At 38.5% G+C, this 16,245-nt stretch overlaps 1 long non-coding RNA gene across 3 annotated transcripts in view; it reads right to left on the bottom strand.

Annotated features, from left to right (window-relative positions):
• LOC105379013 (uncharacterized) overlaps positions 1 to 16,245 on the bottom strand; it is a 406,546-nt gene that overhangs the window by 189,883 nt on the left and 200,418 nt on the right. For 2 of the 3 annotated variants that reach the window (XR_007058804.1, XR_007058805.1), the window contains one exon: positions 1,289 to 1,321. This is a non-coding gene — a long non-coding RNA (uncharacterized LOC105379013). Of the gene's footprint in view, positions 1 to 1,288; positions 1,322 to 2,907; positions 5,134 to 16,245 lie in introns of those variants that run through there. The other variant, XR_007058806.1, reaches the window with a different exon arrangement.

The following is a 16,245-nucleotide window of genomic DNA, read 5'->3' on the forward strand; positions in this document are numbered from 1 at the left end:
ATCCCAACATTTTGGGAGGCTAAGGAGGGAGGATCACGAGGTCAGGAGATCAAGACCATCCTGGCTAACACGTTGAAACCCCGTCTCTATTCAAAAATAGAAAAAAATTAGCCGGGCGTGGTGGCAGGCGCCTGTAGTCCCAGCTACTCGAGAGGCTGAGGCAGGAGAATGGCGTGAACCTAGGAGGCGGAGCTTGCAGCCAGCCGAGATTGCGCCACTGCACTTCAGCCTGGGCGACAGAGCGAGACTCCGTCTCAAAAAAAAAACAAACAAAAAAGAGTGTTCAGCATCACTAATCATCAGGGAAATGCAAATCAAAACCACGATTAGATTTCATCTTACCCAAGTTAGAATGGTTGTTATTAAAAAGACAAGAAATAACGATAACGATGCTGGCAAGAATGTGGAGAAAAGGAAATTCTTATACACTATTGGTGAGAATGTAAATTAGTTCAGCCACTATAGAAAATAGCATAGTGATTTCCCCCCCAAAAAAAAAAACTAAAGAAAAAGCACTACCATATGATTTAACAATTCCACTACTGGATGTTCATCCAAAGGAAAGGAAGTCAGCATTATCAAAGGGATACCTGTACCCCCATGTGTATTGCAGCACTATTCACAATAGCAAAGACATAGAATCCACCTAAGTGTCTATCAACCAACAAACGGATAAAGAAAATGTGATATATTTACACAATGGAATACTATTCTGCCATAAAAAATGAAATCATGTTATTTATAGCAATGTGGATGGAACCAGAGATCATTATGTTAACCGAAATAAGCCAAGCACAGAAAAACAAATATTGCATGTTCTCACTCATATGTGGGAGTTGATCTCAAGGAGATAGAGTAAAGAGATGGTTACCAGATGCTGGGGAGGGGGATGGGGAGATGAAGAACAGTTGGTTAATAGGTATAAACATATAGTTAGACAGAAGAAATAAGTTTCAGTGTTTAACAGAATAGTAAGGCAACTATAGTTAACAAGGTGTTATATATTTCCAAATAGCTAGAAGATTTGAAATGTTTGCAACACAAAGAAATGATATATCTCTGAAGTGATAGATATCCTAATTACCCTGATTTGATCATTACACATCATATGCATGTATCAAAATATTACATGTACCCCATAAATATGTATATTTTTGTGTATCAATGTAAAGTATATGAATATGTGCACACACAATGTAGAAGTCTCAAGGGAAATATTAACATATTCTGAACTCAATGAAAAGAAAAATATAACATATCATCATTTTAAAATTAAACATATACCTACCATATGATCCAGTCATTCCACTCAGATATTTACCTGCAAGAAAAAAAGAAAAAAGAAAATATGTTTATACAATGACCTGTACATAAATGTCCTTAGGCTCTTTATTTGTAATTGCCAAAAATAGAAACAACCCAAATGTCTATCAACAGGTGAATAAATCAACAAATTTTGGTATAGTCACACAATGGAATACTACCTACAATGAAAAGGGATACACATATTTTGGTATATTCATTAAATGTAATAGAAAGGAATGAACTATTAATATATACAACAACATAGGTGAATTTCAAAACTATTATGCTGAGGGAAATAAACCAGGCAAAAAGGAATAAATATGATTCCATTTTATAAAATTCTGGAAAATGCAAATTAATCTGTAGTGACAGATCAGTAGTTGCCTGGGAATGGAGGGTGGGGTGAGGAGGGGAGAGAGGGAGGGATTACAAAAGGACTCAAACTTTTAGGGGTGATGGCTATGTTCACTGTCTTGATTATGGTGATCGTCTCATGGGTATATGAATATATCAAAATGTATGAAAACTATGTATTTTTAAATATATGCAGTTATTGTATATGTCAACCTACACAAAGTTGTTAAAAATGAATCAGTGACATTCATGTGAACTTGTACAATCTGAGTGGCTTTCGAGTAGATATCTGGCCGAACTCGGGATCTGACTATAAGCAACCTCTCTACCCTCCATCCACTCCACTCCTCTGTAGAACAAACGAGAATAAATATAAGAATTTTATCAGAGCTAGAGTCTTTCATAAAATTTTGATGGCAGGGCTAAAGCTTAAATTGATAACACCAGCTTTGAAAAAAAAAATCCCAAAGGGAATAGCCTAAAAGAGAAATATAATCCAAAAAATAACTGTCATCCCTAACCTTTACATTTAGCATCTTTCAGCCTATTCACTACTTCCCTCTCTGGACCATAATTGCCAGCAATGGCATCAAGTTCTCCATTATGCCATAGGGTCATTTTTTAAAAACTGCCTGGATCCTCTATTAAAATACTGGGTTGCCTCATGATTAAGTAGTTTTCACTTTTTATTCACAATAAAAGCTCAGACTGGGCAGTTTATCACTGCTTATTCTACATCTAGGGAAAAATCATCCCCTATTTGGCAGCAAAAAAAGCTAGTAACTCATTTCAATGCTGCAACAGGCCTTGCCTGCTAGTGGGCACACCCTGGCTTCAGGAAGGCTTTGGATGTGTGAAGACCATACATTGCCATGACTCACTCAAATAAAATAATAAACCAGGCCATGCAAACTTAGAGAGAAACGTATAATTTTGCAGCCTATCTGCATCCGTTCAATTATGTCAGCATTCATGACCAATGTATTCAATTGAACATCATAATGACATTTGCTGTTCCTGGTTTTGAGTTGATTTCCTTACAAAATTAGCATTTCATTTTTCCAATTTCAGAGCATATTGAGAACTGTTCGCTACTTAACTAAATCCAGAATTATGAATCCTTTTTCCTAATAAGGCAGCCCCTTGTGCCCCTTCCCAAATTCGATAATTCAGTTTTAAGAAAATAAATGCTTTTCAGCTTAGTGATGGGGCTCAGGCCTCATGAGCATTTGAGCGTTGCAACCTCACCTTTCACACAGGATGAATCTCTGGTGCCCTTATGCTCCTCAGCTCTTGCTGGATGGCCAAAGGAATAGTTGTGGTTAATAGTCACACAATAATCTTTGGCAAGTGATTATTGCCATTTAGAACCCCAAGTCTCAAGGGTGCATTTCTTCTCTTTTGTTTATTGTTTCTCCTGGAGCTTTATCTCATAGTGTGTTGTGGTTATTATTACTTTTTAAAGCAATGGGAAGTTGCTATTACCTGCCTTTGATTGAATTTCCTTAGCTTGTTCTTTCTATTGCCACATTATTAAAGGCACCAGGAAACACTTTGTATTTATCCTCTCTTCAACGTCAGCTTCCCCTGGATCCTAGCTGCCCAGGTAAGTGAAATTTTCCAGTACCAATGTCCCCCAGTCTTCTCATTTTTTATTTCCCAGCTAATTGATCTGTCATCCTTCACTCTTCCTAAGTTATTTGCAATGTCTGGAACATTTTTGAAAAGTAAAACAACAAGGCCTAAAATGAACACTTAAGAGAAATTATAAATCGTCCTCTCCGCTTTACTGGAAAGGCAATATGGAAGGATCTGACGGCAAACTGTGTTTCCATTCTTCTTAGTGAAAGAATGGATGACCATCTTAGCTATAAAATTAGGTATCTTCTTCAGAATGTTCCCTCAGGTTCTCCTGTGGTTTTCCTGTTGGTATTGATAAAACCAATCACAGATTCCTCGGTCAGCAGTTTATTAGGCATTTGTAGAACTCTGATTTGAAATTCGCTTCTTTATGTATTTGGCCAGTAACTTAAGGACTATCAGAACAAGAGACACCTCTATGATTTTCTGAAATCTCTGTTTCTTTTAGGGATTCAGCAACCACATGTAGGGCAGAGTCATTTGCTGACCCACGAGCATCTTAGACTGAAATTGTATCAGATGGATGTAGAATCAATCCTGCATATCCGTACCCCTGAAACAAGTAAAAAATACAGTTGGACATTTCCAAAAACAGGGCCAAGCAGTCATTTGTTAAGAGAGGGTTGCTCTGGGAGATAGATGCAGGAGTTGGAATAACACATCCCAAACCTCCCTTTCCCTTCCAAAACACAAGTCAATAGACCTGCCTTACATTAATTCATCTAAACTTTTCCTAACCATATTTGTATTTTCAGTCTGTATGAACTCCTGGGGTAATGGATCTGAGAACCACTGTTTAAGAGGATTGATTGTGTTGCCTTGTAGGAAAGTAGAAATGGAGTAAGATGAATCACTCAGGCAGAATCATTGTGCTGCAGGACAGATGGAAAGGCTCGGAAAGCACTTGTGCCCCTCCCTGTTACAGAGCATCTGGCCATGCCTAGCCTTGGTGGGCTAAAGAAAAAATACAACTCTCACCCTGCCAGCTGTGTTTTCCATCTTAATTGAAAACTTACACTGAATCTCTATCTAATATGCTCAGCTAGGCAATGCAAGCCCTTAGCCTTTCTTTTGGTACAAGAAGTTGTTGACATCTTTCTGGAAAACATATTTACTACTACCTGTGAAGTTGCTTTGTACGACTAGGTGATATTCAGGGTAAATAAAACGTGTGGCTCTTGACCCTTGGGGAACTCAGTGGATAGAAGAAGCAAACTCAGACAGACAAATAGAAGTTTACAATAGATGTAAGAGATCAAGTAGCTATGCAGAGACATCAGTAAATTAAAAAGAGATGTTTACATATTTACAATAAATACCAGAGGTGCCCATCCTTGCAAGTACCATAATTAGATGGATGGGGGTTGGAGAGAGACAGAGAGATGCTCTCCACATATATTCAAAAACTGGGAGAAAATTTAAAGAGACTTGCTTCTAAATCTGTTAACACAAATGAAGAGATGAACAGTGTTCAGTAGATTTGTTACAAGAGGAAAGTACATATTGGGCACCATATTTTTAAGACAGTGAGTGTGATATGGAGAAATAGGCAAAATCAAATAAAAATAACTGTAATGAAAATAGAAGAGGTGGAGGGAACTGCTATTAGGGCTGTGTGTATATAGGAGAGGAGGAGATAGGAAAGATCTGAGGTAGTAGAGATTTTTAGTAAAGTTCTTGGGAACTGGAGTACATACAGTCTGGGCATCAGGACTTTTCAAAACCCTCCAGGCAATTCTAATGTGCAGCCAAGTTTGAGAACCACTGATCTGTATCATCCTACAAATGGCCACCAGATCAAGTTTTTGATTGCTTTCATTTTATTATTTCCTCTACCAAAAGATTTTTTTTTTTTTACCAATTATTGGGTAGGTATCATCTATTCTTTCATTTTTTTAACAAATAAATGGTAATAGCCATAGATAATTGCTTTACTGCTTTGAATCTTGGGCTTTGACCTGCATGTTGAAAACAATAACTACTTGTAGCTTTGCTTTAAAGATAAAAGGAGGCAATGTTTATAAATAAAGCATTTAACACAGTGCTTGCTACAGAAAATATGCGAGAATAGCGGCAATTACTGCTACTAACTCTCAACATTATGACAGATGATCTTGCCACAGTCTCCGCTCCACCCCATGAAGGTATCTGGCTAACTTCCTCCATATCTTTGCTCATGCTGCTCTTTCCCCTGATAATAGGTTCGGTTCCTCTTGATTTAAGCCCTGCCTTTCTGAAGTTCTACCTCCTTGAAATCTTTTTAGGACATGTCCCCATATACTTTGTCCTAAACAATCTCACCCCATTTTAGTATCCCTAAAGAGAAATTATCCTCAATAAAGTTGGTCTTGAATTGTCTCTTCATTTTACTATGCATGTTAAGCATTATCTCTGCAATTATGTTACAAATTCCTTGAAAGCAGGTGTTTGGTTGTGTCATCCATGGCGGGACGTGGGGGAGCCTGTTTATTGTGTTTAATGAAATAGTCATTCACATATAAGAGACACTTAGCAGATTGCAAGTTCCATGTGGGCAGGAACCTTATATACAGGATTCATCTAAATCTCCCCATGACCTAGAATAACACCTGATACACAACAGGTGCTGGTATTAGTTTGCTAGGGCTGCCATAAAAAGTACCAAAGATGGGGGACTTAAACAACAGAAATTTATTTTCTCGTAGTTCAAGAGGCTAGAAGCCTGAGATCAAGGTATCAGTAGGGTTGGTTTCTTCTGGGACCTCTTTCCTTGGCTTATAGATGGCGTTTTTCCTTGTGCTTGTGTCTTAATCTTCTCTTCTTATAAAGACACCAGCAATGTTGGATTAGGTCTCACTGTAATGGCCACATTTTAACTTCATTACCTCTTTAAAGACCTTATCTCCAAATACACATTCTGAAGCATTGGGATTTAGGACTTCAAAACATTGAATTGGGGGGGTGGGTGGAAGTGCACAATTCTTCCCATAAAAATGCCCAATAAATATTTGTTGAATGAATGAATGCCCAACATGTCCTCATTGCCTAATCCAGCATTACTGCTTAGTGCAGTCTGACATTTATTAAGCAACTATTATGTTACTATCTTAGGAGGCTGTGATAGGAAGTTCAGTAAGCTATGGTTCCTGCCTAAAGGAACTTACATTTTAATGGAAAAAAACCACTGCACACAATTTCAATAAATGGGAAATTAATTTAAAAGTATGCACAGGGAATATGTAGAAGAGAAGGAAGCCATCTAGTCAAGCTGGGGGTACAAGGAAGGCTTTCTTGAGGAGGTAATTTCTTAAGTGGATTTTAAAAGATGAATGAAGCCCACTTGATCGTGGTGGATAAGCTTTTTGACGTGCTGCTGGATTCAGTTTGCCAGTATTTTACTGAGGATTTTTGCATCAATGTTCATCAGGGATATTGGTCTAAAATTCTCTTTTTTTGTTGTGTCTCTGCCAGGCTTTGGTATCAGGATGATGCTGGCCTCATAAAATGAGTTAGGGAGGATTCCCTCTTTTTCTATTGATTGGAATAGTTTCAGAAGGAATTGTACCCACTCTTCCTTGTACCTCTGGTAGAATTCGGCTGTGAATCCATCTGGTCGTGGACTTTTTTTGGTTGGTAAGCTATTAATTATTGCCTCAATTTCAGAGCCTGTTATTGGTCTATTCAGAGATTCAACTTCTTCCTGGTTTAGTCTTGGGAGAGTGTATGTGTCGAGGAATTTATCCATTTCTTCTAGATTTTCTAGTTTATTTGTGTAGGGGTATTTATAGTATTCTCTGTTGGTAGTTTGTATTTCTGTGGGATTGGTGGTGATATCCCCTTTATCATTTTTTATTGCGTCTATTTGATTCTTCTCTCTTTTCTTCCTTACTAGTCTTGCTAGCGGTCTATCAATTTTGTTGATCTTTTCAAAAAACCAGCTCCTGGATTCATTGATTTTTTGAAGGGTGATTTGTAACTCTGTCTCCTTCAGTTCTGCTCTGATCTTGGTTACTTCTTGCCTTCTGCTAGCTTTTGAATGTGCTTGCTCTTGCTTCTCTAGTTCTTTTAATTGTGATGTTAGGGTGTCAATTTTAGATCTTTCCTGCTTTCTCTTGTGGGCATTTAGTGCTATAAATTTCCCACTACACACTGCTTTAAATGTGTCCCAGAGATTCTGGTATGTTGTGTCTTTGTTCTCGTTGGTTTCAAAGAACATCTTTATTTCTGCCTTCCTTTCTTTATGTACCCAGTAGTCATTCAGGAGCAGGTTGTTCAGTTTCCATGTAGTTGAGCAGTTTTGAGTGAGTTTCTTAATCCTGAGTTCTAGTTTGATTGCACGGTGGTCTGAGAGACAGTTTGTTATAATTTCTGTTCTTTTACATTTGCTGAGGAGTGCTTTACTTCCAACTATGTGGTCGATTTTGGAATAGGTGCAGTGTGGTGCTGAGAAGAATGTATATTCTGTGGATTTGGGGTGGAGACTTCTGTAGATGTCCATTAGGTCTGCTTGGTGCAGAGCTGAATTCAATTCCTGGATATCCTTGTTAACTTTCTGTCTTGTTGATCTGTCTAATGTTGACAGTGGGGTGTTAAGGTCTCCCATTATTATTGTGTGGGAGTCTAAGTCTCTTTGTAGGTCTCTAAGGACTTGCATTATGAATCTGGGTGCTCCTGCATTGGGTGCATATATATTTAGGATAGTTAGCTCTTCTTGTTGAATTGATCCCTTTACCATTATGTAATGGCCTTCTTTGTCTCTTTAATCTTTGTTGGTTTAAAGTCTGTTTTATCAGAGACTAGGATTGCAACCCCTGCCTTCATTTGTTTTCCATTTGCACAGAACCAAAAACAAAAACCACATGATTATCTCAATAGATGCAGAAAAGGCCTCCAACAAAATTCAACAGCCCTTCATCCTAAAAACTCTCAATAAATTAGGTGTTGATAGGACGTATCTCAAAACAATAAGAACTATTTATGACAAACCCACAGCCAATATCATACTGAATGGGCAAAAACTAAAAGTATTCCCTTTGAAAACTGGCACAAGACAGGGATGCCCTCTCTCACCACTCCTATTCAACATAGTGTTGGAAGTTCTGGCCAGGGCAATCAGGCAAGAGAAAGAAATAAAGGGTATTCAACTAGGAAAAGAGGAAGTCAAATTGTCCTTTTTTGCAGATGACATGATTGTATATCTAGAAAACCCCATCGTCTCAGCCCAAAGTCTCCTTAAGCTGATAAGCAACTTCAGCAAAGTCTCAGCATACAAAATCAATGTGCAAAAATCACAAGCATTCTTATACACCAATAACAGACAAACAGAGAGCCAAATCATGAGTGAACTCCCATTCACAATTGCTTCAAAGAGAATAAAATACCTAGGAATCCAACTTACAAGGGATGTGAAGGACCTCTTCAAGGAGAACTACAAACAACTGCTCAGCGAAATAAAAGAGGACACAAACAAATGGAAGAACATTTCATGCTCATGGGTAGGAAGAATCAATATTGTGATAATGGCCATACTGCCCAAGGTAATTTATAGATTCCATGCCATCCCCATCAAGCTACCAATGACTTTCTTCACAGAATTGGAAAAAACTACTTTAAAGTTCATATGGAACCAAAAAAGAGCATGCATTGCCAAGACAATCCTAAGCAAAAAGACAAAGCTGGAGGCATCATGCTATCTGACTTCAAACTATACTACAAGGCTACAGTAACCAAAACAGCAGGCTACTGGTACCAAAACAGAGATATAGACCAATGGAACAGAACAGAGCCCTCAGAAATAATGCTGCATATCTACAACTATCTCATCTTTGACAAACCTGACAAAAACAAGCAATGGGGAAAGGATTCTCTATTTAATAAATGGTGCTGGGAAAACTGGCTAGCCATATGTAGAAAGCTGAAACTGGATCCCTTCCTTACACTTTATACAAAAGTTAATTCAAGATGGATTAAAGACTTAAATGTTAGAACTAAAACCATAAAAACCCTGGAAGAAAACCTAGGCAATACCATTCAGAACATAGGCATGGGCAAGGACTTCATGACTAAAACACCAAAAGCAATGGCAACAAAAGACAAAATTGACAAATGGATCTAATTAAACTAAAGAGCTTCTGCACAGCAAAAGAAACTACCATCAGAGTGAACAGGCAACCTACAGAATGGAAGAAAATTTTTCCAATCTACTCATCTGACAAAGGGCAAATATCCAGAATCTGCAAAGAACTCAAACAAATTTACAAGAAAAAAACAAACAACCCCATCAAAAAGTGGGCAAAGGATATGAGCAGACACTTCTCAAAAGAAGACATTTATGCAGCCAACAGACACATGAAAAACATGCTCATCATCACTGGCCATCAGAGAAATGCAAATCAAAACCACAATGAGATACCATCTCACACCAGTTAGAATGGTGACCATTAAAAAGTCAGGAAACAACAGATGCTGGAGAGGATGTGGAGAAATAGGAACACTTTTACACTGTTGGTGGGACTGTAAACTAGTTCAACCATTGTGGAAGACAGTGTGGCGATTCCTCAGGGATCTAGAACTAGAAATACCATTTGACCCAGCCATCCCATTACTGGATATATACCCAAAGGAATATAAATCATGCTGCTATAAAGACACATGCACCTGTATGTTTATTGTGGCACTATTCACAATAGCAAAGACTTGGCACCAACCCAAATATCCAACAATGATAGACTGGATTAAGAAAATGTGGCACATATACACCATGGAATACTATGCATCCATAAAAAATGATGAGTTCATGTCCTTGGTAGGGACATGGATGAAGCTGGAAACCATCATTCTCAGCAAACTATCACAAGTATTAAAAACCAAACACTGCATGTTCTCACTCATAGGTGGGAATTGAGCAATGAGAACACTTGGACACAGGAAGGGGAACATCACACACCAGGGCCTGTTGTGGGGTGGGGAGAGGTGGGAGGGATAGCATTAGGAGATATACCTAATGTAAATGATGAGTTAATGGGTGCAGCACACCAACATGACACATGTATACCTATGTAACAAACCTGCATGTTGTGCACATGTACCCTAGAACTTAAAGTATAATAAAAAATAAATAAATAAATAAATAAATAAATGATGAATGAGAATTTCATAGGAAAGAAGAGCATGAGGCTATTGATTTTAGTATTAGGTGATCACACTGTCTGCAGAGTGGTAGATGGATGTAAGGTAGGGGCAGTATTAGAGGCATGGAAGTAAATAGACATAATTAACAACAGTTCAGGTGAGAGATGAAGGGATTTGGCCAATGATGGTGGTGCAAAGAAGTCAGTAGGTATGAGAAACATTTACAGGATAAAATCTGCAGGCCTTATTGGTAATTGAATATGGGAGGGGTAGAGAAGCAGAGGCATAAGGATAGAACAGCTCAAAGAAGTATTGAAGAATTTGTGGCCATAGTTTAAAACCACCACAATCTGCAGCACACGGGAACGTGAGAGAAATGCAAATTCATAGAGTTCACCTAGACCCACCAAACCAGAATCTCTAGGGGTAAGGCCCAGCAATCCGTTTTTAATAAGCTCTCCAGGTGATTTTGACACTGCTCAGAGGCCCTGCTCTCATAATGAGAAACTTTTTCTATGTGTTCAGGAAAAAATATTTCCTTACTGTTGCTTCTAATAACTCTCATTGAATTATTCATGCCCCAGTTCTTGCTGAATATCTCCAAACCAATTAGTTGAGGGAAAGGAGACATTATGGGGGTGGTTGGGGTATGCGTGCATGCGTGCGTGCGTGTGTGTGTGTGTGTGCGCGCTAGGAAAAGAAGTGGGGAGAATGCCCAAACACAAATGATCTCTATGCATCAAAAGATTTTCCAAAATCTGATTTTCATTATTTATTACTTAAATTTAATGTGTGGCCAAGCTTTTCTAGTAAGGTTTTTCTAGTAAGGTTGCAATTAAAAGAAAATGTAAGCAGATCACAGAAAACGTCATACTTTGGGGGCAGGCTTTGGAAAGCACAAATTTATTTACTTATTTATTTGTTTATTTATTGTCACTCACTGTACTACCCAGGCCTACTAAAAAGAGGATGCATTAAAATAACTAGCTGGTCAATATCCCCATCAATGTTTTAGCATAACCCCACGGTAGAATCAATAACGGTGACCCTAATGCAATGACCTTTGAAGTCCAAACTCTTCTGCCTCACAGGTTATTTCCAATCAACTTAATACAAAAGGTTCAGGTGCAAAACCAAATGGTTCAATTCCTGGAGCATCATTAGTAGTTAAGTAATTAAACAATCACTCACTTATTAACTTTTCTAGGTACCTTGGTCACGCTTGACAATACCAAGATTGCCTGGTAATTATATAAATTATTCCTATTCCCTGTTTAGTAGTTACCCAAAAAATATATTTTCAGAAAGAATATATAACAGACAGGGACATAACCTTCAAAGTGGGGTTTGGGGGAGTAGAAAAAAGGTGACAAATTCTCCTAAAGAAGAATTGCTAATTCAGAAAACATGTTGGGAGCAAGCGGTGTGAAGTGGTAGAAACAACAATTTGTTTCCTGTATAGTTCGAAATTTTAATAATAAGCATGAGCACTTCATAATTAGAATAACAAAGGTATTGTCATTTAAAATTAAAATAAAAAGGAAGGAAAAAACCTGGATGAAGGAAAAAGCACAGGGATCGAAGTCAGAATGTCCTGGTTCAATTCCTGATTCTACAACTTACTAGCTGTGTGACCTTGTGTCAGAGGTGTTTGAACCAGAGCAACTCCATTTTGAATAGAAGCTGGGCAAAATAAGGTTGAGACCTACTGGGCTGTATTCCCAGGAGGTTAGGCATTCTAAGTCACAGGATGAGATAGGAGGTAGTTACAAGATACAGGTCGTAAAGACCTTGCTGATAAAACAGTTTGCAGAAAAGAAGCCAGCCAAAACCCACCAAAATCAAGATGGTGAAGAGAGTGACCTCTGGTTATCTTCAAGCCTCATTATATGTTAACTTTAATGCATTAGCATGCTAAAAGACACTCCCACCAGTGCCATGACAGTTTACAGATGGCATGGCAACATTCGGAAGTTACCCTATATGGTCTAAAAAGGGGAGGAACCCTCAGCTCTGGGAATTGTCCACCCTTTTCCCGGAAAACTCATGAATAATCCACCCCTTGTTTAGTACAGACTCAAGAAATAACCATAGAAATGGGCAACCAGCAAGTCCTGGGGCTGCTCTGGCTGTGAAGTAGCCATTCTTTATTACTTTACTTTCCTAAAAAACTTGCTTTCGCTTTACTTTATGCCCCAAATTCTTTCTTGCATGAGACCCAAGAACCCTCTCTTGAGGGTCTGAATCGAGACTGCTTTCTGATAATGCTTGGACATGCTACTTAGCTGCTCTGGGCTTCAGTGTTCTTATCTTTAAAAGAGATATGTGTACCTCCAATGGTGGGTATAATATTAAAGGAGCTATTAATAATATATGTAAAGCACTCAGCACAAGCCTGTCAAGGTGTATATTCAACAATAGTAGCTTTTTGCTGCTGTTAGTAGCTTTTGGCTCAGCTGAGATCAGAATTTAAATCTCAGTTCTCCTACGTACTAACTATATGTACTTGGTCCAATAATTTCACCTCTATAAGCCTTGTTTGTTGGTTGGTTTTTGAGATATGTAAAACATGACAAGATTATCTATCATTCAAGGCTTCAGAGAACACAGAGCAGACATTTAAGAAATGATGGCTATTCTACGTTAGCTCTTTAAAATGGATTTTAACTTTCACGTCAATTTGCCTTTGCCTGCTACTTGGGCTCAGTTCAGTCCTTAGTACTGTCCTGTCCACACTGGCAATGGCAGGGAACTCTCTTCTTAAAGAAGAGATGGTTTTCTTCATTTTGTGTTTGTGGGAAGGCCCTCTTACATATGCCTGCCCTCAGATTGTCCCAGAACCAGAGTATGGAGACCCCACAAACCATGGGGAAAAAGATAAAATCATGCCTTTGAATAAGCAAACAGAGATGATCTCAGACATATACTGTAGATGTTTTCTCATTTTTTACCAACACAGTCCCTGTCTTATTAGAATGTATTCTCAGCCATCTGGCTTCCATCGAAGCCTAAAATTCAGTCAGGCACAATAAGACAATATTATAATGAAAGAAAACAAAATATTTTACCCCAAAATATAATTCTTGGACATATTTTGAGATGGCTGTTCAGAGAGCCAGCAAACAGAATTAGCCCTGCGAAGCTGTCTTTTTTGGGGGAGATTTGCATCTGTAGAGAAAATCCGCATTGAGGAAGCCAGGCTTTCTCTGAGGGCCCTCTCTCAACCAGACCTAGGAAAGATGAACTGAGAGTCTGACATCTTTCAAGATCTGAAAGAAACATTCACCACCTATCCTCTCTGAGAGCTGCTACCTTGAAGTTTCATCTACATAACAAGACCACCTTTGCTAGCAAGGATTCCTCTTCCCGTCCCATACATGTTTTGCCACTCACCAAACCCCCATTCTTTCTGGAACTTCAAGATGGTATAAAAGCATCAACCATCTGGACATTTTTTAAGTTCTATTTTATATGACTCCCACACACATTAATAGCTTTGCATACCCTTTCTTCTATTAATCTGTCTTTTGTCAGTTGATTTTTAGCAAATCTTCAGACGGCAAGGGGGAAGTTTTCCATTTGCCCCTATGATAAGAACTGGTTGAAGAAGATGACATAAAAATACAAAACCATAAAAGAAAAAGTGATTAGATGTGACTACATTAATTTTGTTTGTTTATTTTAGCATCTCTATGGCAAAAAGACAACATAAAAATAAAATGTCAAATGATACATGAAAAAAATTGCAACATGTATTGTAGTCTAAGCATTAATGCTCTTAATACCATATACAAAGAGCATTTGCAAATCATTAATATGAAAAAGACCAGTATCTCATTAGAAAAAAATAGGCAAAGGATAGAAAGAGGACATTCACAAAAGAAGACATACAAAGGATGAATAAACAAAGGAAAAATGGTCAACATAACTAGCAAACAAATAAAAGTAAAGTTTCATCAGATGGTCAAAGGTTTTATAAACAGAGGATTTTTGGTGTTTGAGAGGACATGGAAAATGGTATTTTGTATACTGTTGATAGAAACTTTCAGAAGGGCCGCATCTATTTGGTAACATGTACCAAAAACTTAGTGTGCATATTATTTGATCTCATAATTCCATTTTTAGGAATTCATCCTAAGATAAATGTATATAAAAGGATATTTGCAACAGAATTGTTTAAAATAGAAAAAAGTAAAACAAGCTAAAAATCTAGCAATATGTCATTGATTAAAAACAATAATGAATCAATGCCTTAACCATACAGCAGAAAACATACTTTCATTAATTATATATATCATCGAATTATACCTATTGGGAATAGATACCAATCCAGGCAGAGAAACTAGCTTGTGCAAAGGCCCTATAATGGGAAGGGCTCCAACTCCACATGGGTTTTTGCAATCAGTTTTACCTTTGCGGGAGTCTACCCTAAGTTAAGCCTGAAGGTGAAACTTCACTAATCAGGGCCCCTATCTTTTGTGTTCATTGCTATTTGCCAAGTGCTTTGCACAGCCCTGGCACAATACACCTGTTAAACTGCTCTGCATGCCATTTCTATAGAAGTGTTTCTCTGTGGGTATATGGAAGGATGCTCACAAAATGTTAACAGTGGTGACCTCTAAGTTGAAGCGCTTGGGGGATGCTTTCTTCTTTCTATTTTTATGTGTTGCTTGAAATGTTAATGATAACCATGAGTTGGCTTCATAATTAGAAATAATTGCGTTATTGTTCTTTTAAAAGTTTATGAAGAAGAAAAAGATCTGGATGTAACAGAAAGTACCTACTAGCCATTGAATTCAGATATTTTTGGTTTATTTCTTGAACGTAGTCTCTTACACTTCTATCAAAGGCTACAAACAAGGCAGCCACACCTCACTGTCAGTGGCTGAAAAGGCACCTGACACTGACACAGTCTGGGGACAGTCAACAGTATTTGGGCCACATTCAGAGAGAAGCCACCCCCAACCCCAGACCTGCCATGCTGGCTGCCCCTCCATGGAAAGGAATGTTCTTCCCCTCCTTCCACCACCTGGCAGCAACACACCACTTATCCTTTTACTCCTAACTCAGCCTCACCTCCTCTGGAAGCTTCCTCGATCCTGGCGCTTTTCCTCTACGTCCCTGCAATGCTCTCTTCATTCCTCTTGCATCACCATCTCTCTTGGGTTCTAAGTGATCCATTTACTTACCTGTCTCATTCATTCTCATGAGCTCCTTGAAAGCAGGAAGGCTGTTTTACTCTATAGTTAATAGTTTTATGCTATTTGCAGGCCCAGCCTATCACCCAATATATAGCAGAAGCTCAATAAGTACTTGTGAATGAACAAGCAGACAGTAGCAACTTTATCCTCGGCTTTGCCATACAGCTATTACTATGCCCTAAGAAACTTTCCCACACCTCAAGTTCTTTTGTAGCTGGCTTGGCCTAGCCCTCCAGCTGTGTCAGGCACTCTGCAGATATCAATTCACATGACTACATTCCTGGTCTGAGGGATGGAGGTGGTTTACCTCCCAAACATCAGGGAGGTCAAAGGACGCCACCCTTATGTATCCTCTGACTGCCACAAACTCTGTTCAAATAAAAATAAGATGGGAGACCAGTTTAAAGTAAGATCAAAGCTTCTGAGGCTTGTCATGTGTCCAGACACCAAAGCATTCTGAAGGAAAAGGCAGTATTTCTCCAATCCACGTTTTACCAGTGGATAGAAAGCACATGCTGATCCTGATCCTTGCCACCCTGCAAGCAGAACTTTCTCACACATGAAAGGGCTCTGGGTACCCAGCAGTTACATTTTCTTACTGTGAACCCCTCTACCCGTGAGCTTCCAGGTGGGT

Source organism: Homo sapiens, chromosome 5 (assembly GCF_000001405.40).
Source record: "Homo sapiens chromosome 5, GRCh38.p14 Primary Assembly".
Lineage (NCBI taxonomy): Eukaryota > Metazoa > Chordata > Mammalia > Primates > Hominidae > Homo > Homo sapiens.